Raw genomic sequence first — 14,816 nt, 5'->3', positions numbered from 1 at the left:
ATGTGAGCAACTCACTGACTTAGAGACGTGGGTCTGCGGTAGGGCATCTGCCTGAGAGTTGCGGCTCCTAGAGGGTAGGGTCAGCCTCTGCTTCCAGCAGTGTCTTGTTTAATCAAGAGCTCAATTCCTGCTTTTTAATAATGGTGAAGAAGCTGCTCCTGGCAGTGGCAATGATAACAAGGATTCAACAGGAAAATGGCTGCAGTTCAGAATTGGGGTGGGGTGGCGTGATGTCAGGTGGGACTCAGCAGATTTGGGCAGATACATAAATTGGGAGTCTGGGATAATGGTTTCCATGCAAAGAACATAAAGTTCTTCAGAACAGAGTCAGATGGCAAGACAGGGCAGGGTACTCCAATTAGGAGCCCCAGAATTCACGAGTCTGTGTCAACACTAGTCGACTACACTATTATCCCATTTAAACCCCAAATAGAAACCACATTAAGAATGGGTGCCAATCCGATTTCTGAAGACTTTTCTAATGTTTTGGGGCTTACTAAGCAACAGCCAGCCTTCCGCATAGTGGTGTGTGACTATTTCAGGGATGGCACGGCTGCTGGGAAGCAGGGGGAGGTCGTAATGACCTCTGCCACCCTCCCAGTTTTAAGAAATAATGAAAGCACTGAAATATAATGCAACAGGGGACATTTCTGCATAAAATATTTCCTGTAAGTCATTGCTTCTAGCTAGTCCTGCCCCTCATCAACGTTTTTTACTACTCTTGTGCTTTGAAGGCCCTTTAGGGTCAGGCTGGGGAGAGGACTAATGGTCATGCTGTGCTTGTGACCTCTTTCCCTGCTCTCTTGTCCATTAGATACTGACCCTATCTTCCTCCCTAAATGCACTTGCCCCTAACCACTGATTGATGTGAGCAAATCACTGACCTAGAGACGTGGGCCTGCATTAGGGTTTCTGCCTGAGAGTTGCAGCTCCCAGAAGGTAGGGTCAGCCCCTGCTTCAAGCAGTTTTTTGTTTCATCAGTAACTCAATTCATGCTTTTTAATAATGGTGAAGAAGCTGCTACTGGCAGTGGCAATGAAAACAGTGGGAATCATGTATTTCTTTATGTTTTAGGTTGAGAGGGATCATTTCTTACTTCTTGTATACTCATTGCCCAACCCAGAGCCTATCTTACTGGAAGCAATTGATAAATATTTGCTGTAAAAATAGAAGGAATAAATGGAGTAGGATAAGGTGGAGAAGAATGACCTTAAAAATATCAAGGCTAGGGTGAACCAGACTAATATGGTGGGTTCTTACTCTGCAGCAGGGACAGAGTAGGGATCACATCAAGTCAGACTGACTGGCTATTCCAGAGGATTCAGATGAATCCAGATGGGTACAGGCTGAGCCCCTCAGTTACCCTCCAGCATCCTGGGTCATAGTGGTTGGGGACAGGTAGGTGCAGTGGTCTTGCACATGGATGCACATGGAATTAAATTATTTCTCTCTGTGTAAAACTCACTATGGGTTTTGGCACTGATAGATTGCGGCGGGGGGTGGGGGGGAGACCAAGCTGAATTTAGCAGAACATTCCAAAGACTAGTCTATAAAATCCTCCATGGAAAGAGCATTCTGTGACCAAGTAAGTTTTGCAAGCATCCTCTCTTTTGTCCTCTTCAGGAGATGCATAAGGGCGAATTAAAGGTGAAGAAGACCTGTTGTTGGGAAACCTATTTATTCTTTGCCCACTGCTTTTCAGGTTATTGGGCCATGGGGATCCGTTTGTGTGGGAGTATTTAAGCCTATTGATGTCTCCTGGAAAGACGGTTCCATAGAAAGGCATTTTGGGAGATGGTGACCTTCAACTGGAAGCTTTCAAGTTTTGGTTTACTTCAGAGGTGAAAAAACCAGAAGAATGAATTCACTGTACTGATAAAATAGGGACTTGTAGGGACTTGTGACCCCAACTTTCAGAGGCACCGCCTGCCTCTTGTCCTTGTCATTTGCTTTTGAGACTCCCAGAAATGACTGCGAATTCTCACAAAACTTTAGCGACAGTGGCCTTGTGATCTGCCTTCAGGTGTATATTTCATAAAGAAACAAATTCAAAAAGTGTGAATGCCACTCTGACAGGTTTGTGGACATGTTTCCCACAAGTGGCACTTTTTGGTTGCACATAACAGATCAAGATGGATGTTTGCAAAATATGTGAGTAATGACATTCACCTTCTCAATTTTTTTTTCTCCAACTGCTTGAATAAGAGGCTTCAATATAACTGACAAAGATAAATGTTCTTTATCAAATTAACAAAGGAAGCTTGAGTTATTAAGACACATCTCCCTAAACTTTGGACGGTTGAAACAAATTTTCTCTTGGGAAGAGAAAACTTTGCCATCCAAGAAAAGGCTGAGGATTTCTAATTAGACTGTAAATCCATGGTTTCCACCACTGGGTAGTGACCTGGAGAGTGAAGTTAGGCATTTCCCATGGAAAGCGTTTTCACTGCCTGGCATTCATCTCACATAGGTAATGATTGTATGTGTGTGTGTGTGAGAGAGAGAGGGAGAGTGTGGGAGTGTGTATGTGGGTTGGGGTAAAAGGGGGTACCCTCTCAGTGGTATTTGGGTTTGAATCACTTGGGGATACTGGTAATTCACGTGCCCAATTATAGAGCCCCCCCATGCTTGGTGCAGGCACGGTGCTCCTTTCCAGAGTGAATAACAGTTGCTAACACACACTAACAAAATTCCCCTGACGCCCATTCATAAAGCATTGCACTGGTGATTCTATCAGCATTAAACTGTTTGGTGACTGAGCTTAGAATTATAGGAATCAGAGAAATGAATTAGCAGTAAATCAAGTCCCAGCTGAGTTCGAACCCAACTGCAGTGAGTTTTAAATTAAAAATATCTTGCTATGATGAAGCAGTTGTAAGTCAAGCACTGGAGCTCTGTCGCTCTTGACTTTGGAGAAGTGTGGCAGCCACCCTTTGAAAGGAAAACCCTGACAACAGCTTGTATTGATTCCCAGCCATGCTGGGAAATTGCCACTTCATTTCTTCTTCATAAACCATTGGCTTTCATTTTTTTTTCTTTTTTCAAAAAAAGGAATCCTATTTGCAAGGATATAGCAGAGCTTTGGGAGGAAGACAGGTGGGAGAGGGCTCAGGCCCACGGGGGACTATTCATGGCATTCTCTTTGGTCCTCAGAAAGAATCATGCGGAAGGGGAATCTGGGTCTGCGGATGTCATGTGCTTTGTTTCCCTGCTTGGACCATATTTGATTCTTCTTTCTGGAGGATCTTTACAAAAAACAACAAAGAGAACACTTCAAGGAAGCTGCAAGACTGTCGTGTTGCAGTGACAATTGCGGTGTAATAGGAAATCATTTATGTAAGTTATGGTGCCCTCTGAATGGAGCTTGTCAGAAATGTGGCTGTGGTTTTTCCAGGCCTATTTTTGTTTCCTCCTGCAAAATAATCCTGAGGTTTTCATTTTCAGAGCAATTGAAGAGGTATTATATACTGGCCAGGGAATACAGAGACCGAGCTTCTAATCCTAGGTATACTGAATGTCTTTCAGCAAGTCCCCTCTCTGGGCTAGGCCTCAGTTTCTCCTCTTTAAAGCCAGGAATAAGCCCTTGCTGTTTCGCGTCTGCAGCCCAGGAGGTGAGGATGAATGTGGCCTTGCATATTAAAGGGTTGGGTGAGCATCAGAAGAAAGAGTCTATTTACACACAAGGTGAAAGAAAATCAAGACAAAGAGAATGAAAACTGAGCTTAGGCCTCACATCACACCTTGCCGGCTCCCGTGTGTTTGCTGATCTGGTGAGGAGGTGTAAGGGATAAAAACCACATGCAGAGGGTCGGAAAGGAGAATGCAGCAGGGATGGCAGGTCGGAAAGGAGAATGCAGCAGGGATGGCAGGTCGGAAAGGAGAATGCAGCAGGGATGGCAGGAGACAGTGGCAGGGGATGGTCAGTGCAGGAGTCCAGAGGCCTGGGTCCCCGGGGGGATCTCCATCCTGGTAGTAGTAGGTTCAATTGGGGACTGCAGAAAAAGAAAAGGATTCGTAAGATTCCTCGATGCCTACATTTCACCAAGCGCCATGCACATATATTTGCATATTTTAGTAAGAGAGGTTGATATGATGTTATGAAATATTTAATCAATTGATCAAGCAATCAGTCAATTCAAGCAATATTTATTGAGTGCCTACTGTGTGCTAGGCACTATGTGAGAATTTGTGTGGAGATGAAAGACCTACTTCTGTCAGCAGGGAGTTCACAGCTTAGTGTGGCCACAACATACGTGGGAATAGAGAATTTACATGCAATGTGTCAGAGAGTGAGACTGGGGCATGAAGAGGGTGCTCTGGGAATAGGAAGACGGGCACCCATCCAGTTATGAAAAGCAGGACATGAAGAAGGGCTCCTGGAGAAGGAGGGGGAGGAGCAAGAAGAGGGGGAGGAGGAGGAGGAGGAGAAGGAGGAGGAGGAGAAAGAGGAGAAGGAGGAGGAGCAGCAGAAGGAGAAGGAGGAGGAAAAGGAGAGGAGGAGGAGCAGCAGAAGGAGGAGGAGGAGGAAAAGGAGAGGAGGAGGAGAAGCAGAAGGAGGAGGAGGAAGAGGAGGAGGAGGAGAAAGGAGAAGGAGGAGGAGAAGAGGAGGGAGAGGAGGGGCAGGAGGAAGAGGAGAAGGAGGAGGAGAAGGAGGAGGAGGAGAAGGAGGAGGAGAAAGAAGAGGAGGAGGAGAAGGAGGAGGAGGAGGAGGAAGAGAAGGAGGAGGAGGAGAAGGAGGAGGAGAAAGAGGGGGAGGAAAAGGAGGAGAAGGAGGAGGAGAAGGAGGAGGAGAAGGAGGAGGAGAAGGAGGAGGAGGAGAAGGAGGAGGAGGAGAAAGAATGGGGAGGAAAAGGAGGAGGAGGAGGACGAGGAAAAGGAGGAGAAGGAGGAGGAGAAGGAGGAGGAGGAGCAGCAGAAGGAGGAGGAGGAAGAGGAGAGGAGGAGGAGGAGCAGCAGAAGGAGGAGGAGGAGAAGGAGGAGGAGAAGGAGGAGGAGAAGGAGGAGGAGAAGGAGGAGGAAGAGGAGGAGGAAGAGGAAAAGGAGGAGAAGGAGGAGGGAGAGGAGGAGGAAGAGGAAGAGGAGGAGGAGAAGGAGGAGGAGGAGAAGGAGGAGGAGGAGGAGAAAGAGGAGGAGAAGGAGGAGGAAGAGGAGAAGGAGGAGGAGAAGGAGGAAGAGAAGGAGGAGGAAGAGAAGGAGGAGGAGAAAGGATGAGGAGAAGGAGGAGGAGGATGAAGAGGAGAAGGAGTAGGAGAAGGAGGAGGAGGAGAAAGAGGAGGAGGAGCAGCAGGAGGAGGAGGAGGAGGAGAAGGAGGAGGAGGAGCAGCAGAAGGAGGAGGAGGAGAAGGAGGAGGAGGAGGAAGAGGAGGAGGAAGGAGAAGGAGGAGGAGGGAGAGGAGGAGGAGGAGAAAGAGGAGGAGGAGGAGAAGGAGGAGGAGGAGGAGAAGGAGGAGAAAGAGGAGGAGAAGGAGGAGGAGGAGAAGGAGGAAGAGAAGGAGGAGGAAGAGAAAGGAGGAGGAGAAGGAGGAGGAGGATGAAGAGGAGAAGGAGTAGGAGAAGGAGGAGGAGGAGAAAGAGGAGGAGAAGGAGGAGGAGGAGGAGGAAGAGGAGGAGGAGGAAGGAGAAGGAGGAGGAGAAGGAGGAGGAGGAGAAGGAGGAAGAGGAGAAGGAGGAGGAGGAGAAGGAGGAGGAGGGAGAGGAGGAGGAGGAAGAAGAGGAGGAGGAGAAGGAGGAGGAGGAGGAGAAGGAGGCAGAGAAAGAAGAGAAGGAGGAGGAGAAAGAGGAAGAGAAAGAGGAGGAGAAGGAGGAGGAGGAGGAGAAGGAGGAGGAGGGAGAGGAGGAGGAGGGAGAGGAGGAGGAGGGAGAGGAGGAGGGAGAGGAGGAGGAGGAAGAGGAGGAGGAGGGGGAGAAGGAGGCAGAGAAAGAAGAGGAGGAGGAGAAGGAGGAGGAGGAGAAAGGAAGAGAAGGAGGAGGAGAAGGAGGAGGAGAAGGAGGAGGAGAAGGAGGAGGTGGAGAAAGAAGAGGGGGAGGAAAAGGAGAAGGAGGAGGAGGAGAAGGAGGAGGAGAAGGAGGAGGACGAGGAAAAGGAGGAGGAGGTGAAGGAGGAGGAGGAAAAGGAGGAGAGGAGGAGGAGGAGGAAGAGAAGGAGGAGGAGGAGGAGAAAGAGGAGGAGAAGGAGGAGGAAGAGGAGGAGAAGGAGGAGGAGGAGGAGAAAGAGGAAGACAAGGAGGAGGAGAAAGGAGGAAGAGAAGGAGGAGGAGGAGAAAGAGGAGAAGGAGGAGGAAGAGGAGGAGAAGGAGGAGGAGGAGAAAGAGGAAGAGAAGGAGGAGGAGAAAGGAGGAGGAGGAGAAGGAGGAGGAGGATGAAGAGGAAAAGGAGTAGGAGAAGGAGGAGAAGGAGGAGGAGCAGCAGAAGGAGGAGGAGAAGGAGGAGGAGGCAGAGGAGGAGGAGGAAGGAGAAGAAGGAGGAGGAGAGAGAGGAGGAGGAAGAGGAGGAAGAGGAGAAGGAGGAGAAGGAGGAGGAGGAGAAGGAGGCAGAGAAAGAAGAGGAGGAGGAGGAGAAGGAGGAGTAGGAGAAAGAGGAAGAGAAGGAGGAGGAGAAGGAGGAGGAGGAGAAGGAGGAGGAGGAGAAAGAGGAGGAGGAGAAGGAGAGAAGGAGGAGGAGAAGGAGAGAAGGAGGAGGAGAAGGAGAGAAGGAGGAGGAGGAGAAAGGAGGAGGGAGAGGAGGAGGAAGAGGAGGAGAAGGAGGAGGGAGAGGAGGAGGAAGAGGAGGAGAAGGAGGAGGAGGAGGAGTAGGAGGAGGAGGCAGAGAAAGAAGAGGAGGATAAGGAGGAGGATAAGGAGGAGGAGGAGAAAGAGGAGGGTAAGGAGGAGGAGGATGAGGAGGAGGATAAGGAGGAGAAGGAGAAGGAGAAGGCAGAGGAGAAGGAGGAGGAGAAAGAGGAGGATAAGGAGGAGGAGGAGAAGGAGGCGGAGGAGAAGAAGGAGGAGAAAGAGGAGGATAAGGAGGAGGAGGTTAAGGACGAGGGGGAGAAGGAGGAGAAGGAGGAGGAGGAGAAGAAGGAGGAGGAGGAGGAAGAGGAGGAGAAGGAGGAGGAGGAAGAGTAGGAGGAGGTGAAGGAGGAGGAGAAGGAGGAGGATGAGGAAAAGGAGGAAGAGGAGGAGAAGGAGGAGGAGGAAGAGGAGGAGGAGGAAGAGAAGGAGGAGGAAGAGAAGGAGGAAGAGGAGGAGGGGAAAGGAGGAGGAGAAGGAGGAGGAGAAGGAGGAGGAGAAGGAGGAGGAGGAGAAGGAGGAGGAGGAGGTGGGGGAGGAGAAAGGAGGAGGAGAAGAAGGAGGAGGAGGACAAGAAGGAGGAGGACAAGAAGGAGGGGGAGGAAGAGGAGGAGGAGGAAGAGGAGGAGGAGGAAGAGGAGGAGGAGGAAGAGGAGGAGGAGGACAAGAAGGAGGGAGAGGAAGAGGAGGAGGAGGAAGAGGAGGAAGAGGAGGAGAAGAAGGAGAAAGAGGAGGAGAAGGAGGAGGAGGAGGAAGAGGGGCATCCAGTTGAGTTTTAGAGGATGTTTTGAAGGATCCCTCAGATTGGCTTTGTGAACTCATAAGCAGAGGTCCCACGTGGAGGAAGCAGCACAGAGAGGTGAGAGCACAGCCCTTGGGGTCTGCAGGAGTTCAAGGCAGAGGTGGGAAGTGGGGCAAGGGGCAACACGGCAGAGGCTGCACCAGGACCAGTGTCAGTATCCAGCTAAGGGATTTATCCATCAGGCAGCAGTCAGGCCTTGGCGATCTCCAAGGAAGAGAATCAACAAGACCAGATTTGTACTGTAGCAAGGTTCAGCGGGGGCCACGTGGAGAACAACTGGAAGCAGGCTATTGCAGTAAATCAAAGCATCCTGAGCCGGGGCTGATCAAAGGGGGTGGCAAAGGAGAGAAAGGGGCTGATCTGAGAAGTGCATCGTAGGAATTAGCGCTGACAGATGATGGTGGATATGGCGGTGAAGGTGGTGGGCAGCAAGGAACGGGCAGTGGGGTTGTCCTGCAGGTGTCTTGCCTGGGCAGCTGGTGGGAGATGATGCCATTAGTGGAGCTGGAGAAATCTGGACTGAGGCAGGCTGTCGGGGGAGTGGTGGGGCAGGAGTGCTGCATTCTTTTCTGAACAAGGTGAATTGGGGCATATGTGGATTTGCAGGCGGAAGTGACCAGGAGGCCGGCGGATACAAGGCTCTTGTGTCCCCGGCAGCTTCAACTTCATGCTTACCTAGTGCTGTTTACTTCTGGACCCAGTTGCAGACTTAGGAGTTCCTTTTGGGATCTGGCAGAAACTTGACAAAGAAGCAAGAAGATCCACCTAGAGATTCTTGCATTTTTCAAGTGGTTCATGTTTCGGCGTAAACATACTGTCTTGGACAATGTACTTGAAATTGTTCTGAAAGCATCCCAGGTATTCACCTTCCCTTAGGAGAGTCCCACTACTTTCCAGTGGAAAAAGAACAATCCCGGGAGGTTGAGTAGCACCCAGAGTGCTATAGAGCAAGCTTGGAACAGAGCGCACCTGGGCCTCTGTTCTGCTTGTTCCCTTCCTCGGTGCGTGCCTCCAACTTCAATGAGCGCATGCTCAAAACAGTGTGGTCTAGGGAAATGAACTCCACCATGAGCTAAGAGATTGGTGATTAAAATATTGACCTTGCCCATTAGGAATAATGTCCTGTTGGTCTAATCCCACATTCTGGGAGGTAGGACAAAGTCTGCACAATCAAAGCCTGCAGGTAGGACCTGGCGACTAGATAGGGTTGGCTTGGTCCAGGCGTGTCAAGTGCCAAGGAAAAATTTTTATCATGGGAATGCCTTTAGGTGGGGCAGCCCCTCTCCAGGTTCTACCCCCTGTTTCTCATATCTTTGCTTCACACATCTATGATGAAGGTATTTTTAAAATAGCAGACACAGTCTAGGGCTTAGTAAAACCCAAGCAGTATCTGTTCTCTCTCTTTCCAATACATGGGGAAAAAATGAATGGGTTAGCATATTAGTGACAGATGCTTTGCATTCTGCAGGAGAGCTTTATAATTTAGTGGTCTTCATTTGTTGTAGGAGATGTAGACATGGGCTCCTGTGTTCCATTACAGTGTTCATGTCATAGGAACTGCAGAGAACAGGCCATTGGTTTGAGCAGAGTGCTAGAGAGAGAGATATGCTCAACTCCTTCAAGTCTTCCCAGACACTTTCAACCCTCTGTGCTGCTGCGGAAGGTAGTGAGACTTGGGGATGGGGAGAGGCCCCAGACAGTGCAGGGCCTCTGACTAGCCCGGGCATCATTTATACCAGTTATTCAAGACTGAGGGACCCCGGGAGTTCAGGCCCAAAGAATGTCTTTAGCTGCAAAATTGCAGTACAACATCAAGTGAAACGATGGATCTACCCTCTTCTCTGGATTGCTTCTGGGTATCTCAGAGCTGCTAATAAAATTGTCTTGTGCTTTGGGCTGTCTTGTGGGGAGAAACAGGGGGCAGGGTAAGTGTTTTTGAGCTCTAACCTTTCAAAAACCCCATAGAGGTGGCAGGATTTCTGTTCATTCCTCCTCATGCCTCTTTTCCCAGCCCTTGTACATTTTATCAACTGTTCTCGGCATGTAATACATTTACGGAGCTGCACTTTTGGTCTCAGGGAATTCAGCAGTTTCTCCAAGTTTATCTGGTGGCACATTGTTTCCTTACTAGGAGGCAGAGGTCAAGGCCTGGGGCTCTAAGAAGGAAAGTAACCTAACCACAGTGATCTGTGGTCAGGACTGGAATAGAGCAGTTGACGCCACCGGGGGTGTCCTTGTTACATCCCCTCACCATGCCCCTGTCCACTGCGGGTAAGGCCTTTGGGATTGGTGAGCTGAGCCCTCTCCAAGGCTGTCTCAGAGCCTGCAACAAAGGTAGGGAATCCCTACACTTTCCCCTTTTCTTGTACCACCTTCTTATGTTTCATTTTAGAGACTACTTACTGACCTGGGGTATCAGATGTCCTCAAAGGGGCTGCTGGCTTTATGCTCGGATGAGAAGATCTAAGAAAGCAGGCAAAGGCGAAAGAGGCGGGGTACTGGCCATGTGCATGATGTCAAATTGGACAAAGAATCTTGGCTGTCATTGGCCCCAGGCCGATTGTTGGGGGTGTGGAGGAGAGAGAGTGAGCTTTGCTAAACCCAGGCCCAATTGCATGAAGTTGCTGTAGCTCATTTCACTCTCCTTTGTTCCTTCTCCCAGGACTTAATACTAGCAAGACCGAAGCCTTCTTGGCAAATACTTAAAAATAAACTAATTAAATAATTTTTCTAAACTGTATTTATATTTCTGGCAATCATTATTGAGTGAAATGGTATTTTATTTACATCTAGGATTTGTGGCAATGTAATAGAAGTTCTCTTGTTTTAATTTGATGATGCTCATTTTTGGAATGTTCTAAAGAGCCTTTATAAAAAAGCTTACAGAATATCACATGACCAAATATAGAAAATTTGCTTTGAAAAAATGTCATTTCTCCAGCACATACTGTTTTGAAAGAATGGCATTTTCACCTAAAACTTATATTTGAAAACTTAAAAATATTGGTAGGCATGGAACAGCATTTAACCAGGTAACAAATTTTACAAGTAGACTTAGCCACATGCCAGGTCTGGGCATTTTTGTGTGCAGACAGTAGTACACGTAGAGACTTTCTGAAAACTCAGCCTGCCAAGAATTTCCTGGTAATATATGATTTATTGGCTTGTATTTTCAGTATTTACATCTCATATTCCCACTTAATTGCAAGCTTCTTGAAAGCAGGCATTGTCTTAGACACATTTGCAGTTCCCTCTGGACCCAACATAAGGTTGTTTGATTGTCTCTCTCTCTCTCTCTCTCTCCCTACCTTAAACTTGGTTTTCTGAGCTTGAAAAGAGAAGTATTTGAATGGTAGGACAGTAGAGGGCATTACACATCCTGAAACAGCTGCGGATCTACAGGAAGTGGGAAGTAGCTTCCTGGCGAAGTCTGCAGGCAGTGATGTCCATGTCTTGGTGATTATTCTTCCATACAATTATCATTTTTCACCAGCTGATGGTAAACAGAGCACCTAATGAGTTGGTCTCTAGACCACAGACGTACCATATTGCTTGGTAGGCACAGAGGAGCTGCAGATAACATCTTTTTCAAAATGAAAACTCCATTAAACTTGGCTGACTTCCTGTTGTCTTTGGTCAAAAAGTCCAAAGGTTTTGCAAAGGTGAAAACTTTTTTTTTTTTAAAAAAAAGATAAATTAAAGGAAAATTCAAGGAAATAAAGAGATTTTTATTCAAGGGCTCCTTGGTAATTGATTGCCTATCTTTACGTCCCCCCCTGCCGCCATTTCCTCCATCTTCTGTGAAGAAAATCTTAAGTTGTAGGTTTTGATAAACTCTCCTGCCACCTCTTTTCTCTGAGCCAAACATCCTGGCTGTGCTGGCAAGTTGGGAGCCTTTGCAGGGGATGGGAACAACTCAACTTCAGTAGCACGTGATAGAGGGTTCCTTCTCTTTTAACTGCTTTGCACATTGATGGAGAGCTCATTGCTTCTCATGGTGCAGGTAGGTCTGACTCCACATCTAATTTTGTGACTGATCACAGGTGCAGGTCACCATCTGCAGGAGGTGTGGATAGCAAAGCCCAATGTCAAAATTCATTCATGTGGCAGGGTTTCTGGGCAGCCCCCATCCCACTGCTGGTTCGTAACCAGTGGGTCTCTAAGCTTCTCCCACCCTCATTATATGTGTGTCTTACACAAACTTCTGCCACCTGGTACTTTATTCATTAATATTTTTTGAAGCCTAAAATTTGAATTTATGTTTGTCACATTCAATTTCTTTTTGGGGTTCCAGTTTTGACCCTGTTTCAGGCTGCTAAGATAGTCTTAAACTTTGTTTCATCCTCATCAATGGGTTGAGTCTTACTCTACTATTAAATGACTTCTCTCATATTATCTCATTTGACCTTCACAAGTCCTGGAATCTGTCCGTTGCAAATTTGATAAATGTGACTCTCAGTCTTCATTCAACTTACGGATAAAAGTATGAAACAGCACAGCGCCAAGGACGGAACCCTTTGACATGGCATTTTCTGAAGAGCTTCCCTTTTGGGTTTGACAAATAACCATTGATTCACTTTCTTTAGGCTCCAGAAGCAGGGGAGCACCCAGGACCCAGGATAGACTTTGGAGGCAGACAGGTCTGGCACTGCAACCCAACTTAATGCCAACTTGGCCATGCCCAATGGGCAGATTATGTGGGGACTCATTTCCAGTGATTATAGGCAGGTGAGAGCTATGGGCCTTCTCCTCCACAACCTTCCTACAAAAGCAAGTTGCAGACTCAATTCTACCCTACCTACCAATATTTGTTAGTAACCAGGCACATAAATAGCCATACAGCCTGTTTTTGAAGCTCAGTGTGGATCCTGCTGTCTGCCTCAACTAGTGTGCCGGGGAAGGGTATCAAGGTTTGCTGATATAGCGGGTCACCTCAACCCTGCAGGTGGACAGCCAGAGGGCACGAGGGGCATGCAGCAGCAGAAGCTCCCTCTCTGGCCCCAGGGTGTGGTAAAAATATTATCACTTTCTGCAAGTGTCAGGAAGTGAGAAAGTTTGGGAGGCACTGACTTAGTAACTCTTACAAGTTTATTTCAAGGAAGATTTATTTGAGGCAGATGTGGCAATGTGGTTGCAGGTTTCAGCTCACCTTCTAGTGGGATTAGAGGACAGCATCCTTTGAGAGATGAAATAGACCCTAGTAGGACCCCTAGGCCAAGAATGGAGCCACAGAGGGCTCTAGGCTTGCCAGATTCTTGTGCCCAAAGGGCAGAGATGCCTGGATGGCATTTCTAACCAATTATGCATATTCGACACTGCTTAATTTCCTGCTGATAAATTGTTTCCAACATCTCTTATGTTTTTTAACAAACAGTGTAGACTCTGATGCAAGGCTTTCAAAGGCTAAGTCACCAGCCCTGGTTAGTTACAATACTTCAGATGTCGACTAACCATCCTTGGGTAAGGATTGGAACTAACTTACATTATACCACTCTGTTTAAGCTGATGCATTTTAAAGTAATTTACAGACATCATCAAGCCTTGGCTACTCAGCTGTGTGGCGTCAGCATGTTACCTGTCTTCTCTGAGGTTCAGTGTCCTTATCATTAAAAGAGTAAAATAAGGGACTGCTCTAACAATTAAGTGACATAATACGTGGGAAATAGCTTGCACACTGCTTGACACATATTAAATGCTCAATAAGTGGAGAGGTAATATTATTGAAAATTGTTGCCTGTTCTTCAGATTCCTAAAGCTTGTCAGTTCTGCTTCTTGCCACCCTGTGTTGGATTAAAACACTTCAGTTTTCTTGGTTTATAAATAGTCACATCTGTTTCTAACACTGGGCTTCAACAAGTCTACTGCCTTGAGGTTCTATAAGCAAATGGGAAGGGAAGAAGAGCAGGTGGCTGGTCCCATTGCATTAATTCTGGCTCTCTGTCAGAGTATGACCTCTTAAAAAAAGATTTAAAAATATTTGTAGGGATTCCTTTATTTTTGGAAGACTCAGAATTTTCTCAGAGTCTAGAATTAACAGCCACGTTTATATATTCAATCTGTGCTCAGATCAGCCATCCACATGTAAACATACGTTATTTTTATAGGACCTGGAGTGATATCTTAGATAATGTGGTTTTTTTGCCAGGCCATGGTGATGGTTACTGTTTTTTTTTTGTTTTTTTTTTTCCTTCAGGTTTACCACCCAAGACTCTGAATTTGGTGTAGGGAGAGCAGATAGGAGACTCTTGGCTCAAAGCAGTGGCTAACCATTAGTGAGTAATTATTGCCTGGAGCCTACCTGATAATTATGCCAAGCATTGCAGGATGGGGCATCTGCTAATGTTTGCCTGCAACGAAGTCAGAAAGCTGAAGTGGTCCATCAGAGACCAGAGAGGTGTGTTCAGTGTACATGGTGTTTGCATACTTGGATGTCCTCACTTGCCTCCAATAGGTGATATTTATGAACACTGCCCATCTCAGCTGTCTTCAGCCCCAGGCCCTGGTTTCCTGGAAAGATAGCCTTAAACTGGTGAGTAAGGGCCTCTGGGATTCTCCTGTGTAAAGCCAGCCAGCCAGTGAGAACCCTCTGCCCTGAGGCACCCTGGTTCAGAGCGTGCTCGATTCTTCCAGGCACCTTAGCTTTGAAATCAGTGAAATCTCTGCATGATGACAAACGATTAAGCTGGAAACATTGCATTATTCCCAGCAACACTCGGGCTGAGAGAGGAAAGAACCACTGGTTGACTGTGGAGAAAGGTGATTTGCCCCTGTGGAGAGGGAACAAAAGCTTGGAGACTCTGGAAACGGAGTGTGTCAGTGTATTTTGAAGGTGATGGGACATCTGTGAGCAGAGAGTCCGGCTCTGGTCTTGTGGAGGTGGTCTTTCCACCACATAGCACACCATGGGGAGATTTGCCATTGCTTCTCTGTCCCCTAAAGGAAAAGGGGCACCTCATTGTCACACTGTCCCCCCAGGGTCCTTGTCACTGCCATCCTCTACTCTTCAGCCCTTCTACAGTGACCACAGGCCCTGTGTTCACTAGAACAGCCTGTGTTTCAGATATTCTGTGCCATTGCTTGAGTGTGTGTCCTGATATTTTTGGTTTGAAAATAGTCATGTATCTATATCTATATCTATCTCCAAATGGGTATCCTTGGGCAAAATTGAGAAATAGTTGAATTTTGCCCCAAGTACTTGGGTATCTCCTCTCTATTTCTCTCTTTCTTTCTTTAGACAGGGCTTTTGG

The 14,816-nt window shown here is 47.4% G+C and overlaps 1 protein-coding gene across 11 annotated transcripts in view; it reads left to right on the top strand.

Moving 5' to 3' along the window:
• Positions 1–14,816, top strand: part of PLXNA4 (plexin A4) — a 525,349-nt gene that overhangs the window by 79,888 nt on the left and 430,645 nt on the right. The window contains exon 2 of one of the 11 annotated variants that reach the window (XM_047421017.1): positions 3,154–3,336. The exons of the other annotated variants lie outside the window; for them this stretch is intronic. The gene's annotated coding sequence lies outside the window, so the exon portion shown is untranslated. The remainder of the gene's footprint in view (positions 1–3,153; positions 3,337–14,816) is intronic. 11 annotated transcript variants of the gene reach the window in all.

This window comes from Homo sapiens, chromosome 7 (assembly GCF_000001405.40).
Source record: "Homo sapiens chromosome 7, GRCh38.p14 Primary Assembly".
NCBI classification, from domain to species: Eukaryota; Metazoa; Chordata; class Mammalia; order Primates; family Hominidae; genus Homo; species Homo sapiens.
Note: the sequence above shows the minus strand (reverse complement) of the source record. Positions and strands in the feature narration are given on the sequence as shown.